Source organism: Homo sapiens, chromosome 18, assembly GCF_000001405.40.
Source record: "Homo sapiens chromosome 18, GRCh38.p14 Primary Assembly".
Classification (NCBI taxonomy): domain Eukaryota; kingdom Metazoa; phylum Chordata; class Mammalia; order Primates; family Hominidae; genus Homo; species Homo sapiens.
In genome coordinates this window covers 48,994,001-48,998,105 of record NC_000018.10, presented here as the reverse complement: position 1 = coordinate 48,998,105, position 4,105 = coordinate 48,994,001, and the positions used below count along the sequence as shown (strand labels likewise).

At 52.2% G+C, this 4,105-nt stretch overlaps 3 annotated features.

Moving 5' to 3' along the window:
• Positions 892-1,590: an enhancer, noted in NCBI's record as "H3K27ac-H3K4me1 hESC enhancer chr18:46522886-46523584 (GRCh37/hg19 assembly coordinates)". NCBI's record gives its function as "activates a minimal SCP1, AML or CMV promoter by ChIP-STARR-seq in naive H9 embryonic stem cells {active_cell/tissue: H9 hESC(naive)}" and the evidence as "EXISTENCE:reporter gene assay evidence [ECO:0000049][PMID:30033119]".
• Positions 1,948-2,715: an enhancer, noted in NCBI's record as "H3K4me1 hESC enhancer chr18:46521761-46522528 (GRCh37/hg19 assembly coordinates)". NCBI's record gives its function as "activates a minimal SCP1, AML or CMV promoter by ChIP-STARR-seq in primed H9 embryonic stem cells {active_cell/tissue: H9 hESC(primed)}" and the evidence as "EXISTENCE:reporter gene assay evidence [ECO:0000049][PMID:30033119]".
• Positions 2,716-3,485: an enhancer, noted in NCBI's record as "H3K4me1 hESC enhancer chr18:46520991-46521760 (GRCh37/hg19 assembly coordinates)". NCBI's record gives its function as "activates a minimal SCP1, AML or CMV promoter by ChIP-STARR-seq in primed H9 embryonic stem cells {active_cell/tissue: H9 hESC(primed)}" and the evidence as "EXISTENCE:reporter gene assay evidence [ECO:0000049][PMID:30033119]".

Sequence of the window (4,105 nt, the reverse complement as noted above, 5' to 3'; positions counted from 1 at the left end):
GCTATTTCTGTGAGGGCGCAGGCTGGTGTCACCCCGCGTCACCAAGCACTCTGGGCCTGAAATTAAATGTGTCTGCTGGAAGAATGAGTGTGAATTCCTATAGGATAGATGGTTGCCTGGCAACACAGTGTCACGGCCAAAACATGGGCCAGGGCAGGATGGGCGCGGGAGACACTCAGGTTTGCAAAGTGCCAACTCAAGCCTGTGACAGTCTCAAGGGTCTCTGAGACTCAAGAAACTGATATTTGCCCAGGACGCCTGTGGACCTTTAATCACAACGAAAGAGGGTAGAGTGTGGAGCTGAGCCTTGTGCCTCTGGACACATTACAGCCTGGGCCTCTACCAGGACCCAGCACCGAATTATGATCAGTAATTCTGTATTATTTTCCTGAAGGAGACACTCTTGCAAATTGTGTAAGCTTCAGGGCCCCTCAAAACCTGGAGAATCTTCTGACCCCTTTCCATACCAAAAGAAAAACTTCTACGTGTGAGTATCCAGATAAATTTTATGTAAAATAAACACCCCGGCAATGGAAGGCTCATGGACCAAAGCTTTGGTCAAACACTCAGTTAAAATCAGTTCTGGGTAAATAATTGGGAACTGGCAGGAACTTTAAAATCCACCTAGCTCGTCCCTTTTCTAAGAGAGGGAAATGCAGCTCTGAGAGGTAAGGCGGCGCTGCCCCCCTTAGAGGGTTTTCAGCAGCGCCTCCCATCTCTGCAGGTCCCTGGAGCTGGCAAGAAGGGGAATTGACCTATGATTAGTTTTGAAAACGTGCCTGGGAGGTGAAAGACACAGGGTGCAATGTGGCATTTTTATTATTCTTGTGATGTCATCACTTTGAGAAGCTTATCTATACACACATCTCCCCACCCAAACAACAAAGTCAGCTTCAAAAAAGAAAGCCCTGAAGCAAGCTGTTTGTTTCATGAGTTGCTTAGCAAGCCAGAGGCATCTGCTCTCCAGATTCTAAAACTGTAGGTGTCGTGGGCCGCAGAGGCTCCCAGGTCTTGCTGGCCCTGGCCTGCCCTCCCCAGGGCAGCCAGGCCGCAGCAGTGTCTGGGGGGGTAGGGTCAGTTCAGGGTGGTGCCCAGGAGGAGGAGAAGGCCTAAGCCAAGACAAGCCTCAAAGCCTCCTCTTCTCTAGCGCTGGCCCTGCCCCACTGACTTCCAGAAACCTCTGCCAGCCTCCCTGCCTTTGCTCCCAATTCACCCGTCCTCCAGAAGTGAGACCTGGAAAGAATTGCAGAGGTCATTCCATTGTAGCAGCTTTTCAGGTGGAGCCTTGAGGCTCTGATGTGCTCGGGGTCTGCGGACCATGGGCTGCTGACCTCTCATGCATGCTTGGGGGTTTTTTGGGTTTTTGTTGTTGGTTTTTTTTTTTTTCTGAGTCAGGGTCTCACTCTGTCACCCAGGCTGGAGTGCAGTGGTGTGATCTCAGCTCACTGCAACCTCCGCCTTCTGGGTTCAAGTGATTCTCTTGCCTTAGCCTCCTGAGTAGCTGGGATTACAGGCGCCTGCCACCGCGCCCGGCTAATTTTTGTACTTTTAGTAGAGACGGGGTTTCACCATGTTGGCCAGGCTGGTCTCAAACTCCTGACCTCAGGTGATCCACCCGCCTCGGCCTCCCAAAGTACTGGGATTACAGGTGTGAGCCACCGTGCCTGGCCACCCTTGTGTTTTTCTGAATCACCAGTCTTTTCTCCTGAAATATCACTGCCCTAGGTCCTGTTCCTGTGGGGATTGGCTGGGCCAGTGGTTTTCAAAATGTGGCTCCTAGACCAGCAGCCTCAGCCTTGTCTGGAAACTTCTGAAACAAGCAAATTCTCAGGTCCCACCCCAGACACCTGCTGGTTGGGAACTCCGGGGCTGTGACCAGCCTTCTGTGTTAACAAGCACCTCAGGCGATTCTGAGGCACCTACAGCTTGGGCACCTTTCTCTAGACAGAAGCTCTATGAAAGCAGGGAGCCACCTGCCTTATCCGCTGCCACTTCAGCAGGGCTCCTGGAAGATGGTGGCTGCTCAATACGTGTTTGTTGAGTGACTATCCTAGACCCAAGCTAGAGCTGCTGAAACTGGGTGTGTGGGAGACCTTATGGACATCTGCATTTCAGCAGGCCTTCCAGGGGAGCGGGTGATGAGGGGCTGCGAACACCATGAAGGGGCAAAGGGCCCCAGTTCCTCTGGCTGGGGTGTTTGCTGGGCCTGAAAGCAGAACAGGCAGCTGACTTCGGGAATAGGAGCTCCTCTATTCTCACGCTGTCTTTATTCAACCAACCTCTTTTATAGAAATGGTCCTCTTGGTTTCTAGGACACGAAGCTACTGAATAATCAAGAAATGAAAGATGGGTCCATCACAAACCAGACAATTGCTTGGGACTCCGAGGACGTCCTGTCGGCAGTTCTCAATGCAGAGGAACCCATGTGGATGCGTGGCTTGCGCCTAGGCTGATCCCCGGCCTGGCTCCAGGCGGGCATCACTGTCTGCCCTGTACTCTGCCTTCCCGCCGTCCTCACCAGCTTGGAGGATTCTGAAAGGGAGCCCATGCCTAGGAGGTCTGGCGGCTTCTCCTGCCATCCTATTTCTGGGCCTGGCCACAAGGAGGTTTCCAAGAAGGGCCCTTGGTCAATATCACAGACAGCTCTTGGGTTCCTGAGCTGTGCCTTGTTAGGGCAGACCATAGAATCCAGCCACAGGCACAGGCTATCACCACCACCTGCTCCATGTGGGTCCCTCCTCTGTGTACTGGAGGTGTGAGGACACTGCTGGGGCTCAAGTTACAGGCCCTGTACCCCTCAAAAGACAGAGTCTGACTGCAGAGGGCAAACACTCCACAAAGCCAACTGAAAAGCATTGAGTGGGAAGGCAGTGGGGAGCTCTGAGTGTGACCCCCGTGCCGAGGCATCCACTCAAGGGCTGATGGGTGGGAGAGGCGCTGGGACCTGGGGAGCAGGATGTGGAGATGGGAGTTCTCCTGGGAAGGCAGGTCTTGCAGGGCTTATGGCAGGACGGTACAGAGAAGGGGTCCTGGGAAGCAGGGGACTGGTGTGGGTTAGGTGGGTTGGGTCACTGTTTGGGAGGCGTGACAGTTGTCTCTGCTTTCCGCACGCCTTCAAACTCAATGGCACGAAACTGGAGGGCACAAAGGCCCTCCCCTCAAAACCCCCAAATCGCCCACCATCTCTGCGTCCTGCTACTGGCCACATTTTAAATTGCCCGCCATCTCTGCGTCTTGCTACTGGCCACATTTTAACAAATGATGTTCAGCATTTTTCCCTTTGGGTTTGTCAGAGCAGGGTTGTCCCTGGATGTTCTGTAGGGTCGTTGTGTCGGGGGCAGGGGTGGGGGAGGAGTAAAGGGGTTGCGGGGAGGAAGGGAGGGAAGCACCCTGGGAACTATTTCTACACAAATAACTAGCTATTTTAGTTTCCCTACTGGACTAAATGCCAAGTATCAATTAAAATTTTTTGAAGAAAAAAACAGATGTATTAATTCTTGCTTCCTCCTTTTGTTGGCGGGTCTGCTCTTTGCCATTTGTGAGGCCGTGTGTGGGTGTGAACGTCTGTGTGTGCACATGAAAGGCTGCGTGTGCTGGACACGTGCTGTATCCACACATGTACTCACACCCGGATGAGACGGCACCCTTCACCAATTATGAAACTGCTTCACAAATCCAACCTCAGAAATGACTGGATTTAGCGTTTTTATGGGGTGGGATGGTGAGGCACATCCCCCCCACATGCCGTCTCCCATGAGGACAGAAAAGAGCATCATACTTTATTTTATGACCAAGAGGTCATTCGTCTATATCTGCTCTTGAAAGCCACTGAGGACATTTTGCCAATCACTAGGAGAAACTAAATAAACAGAGCCAAACAGTGTCAGCTCTCTGCGGCTGAGTAATTATGAGGAATTCCTCTTTAAATAGAAGTTTAAGTAAATATAGAAAGATCACTTTACAGAAGGCAGCTCCAGAAGAGATGGGGGAGCGGGGCCACAGGCGACCCTTCCAAGTCAAGGAGAAGGTAAAGGCCGAGCTTGGAGAAACCAGAACCGGAGGGTTTCTGGTATGAAACAGACACGCTTCTCCTTCTTCCGTGCCT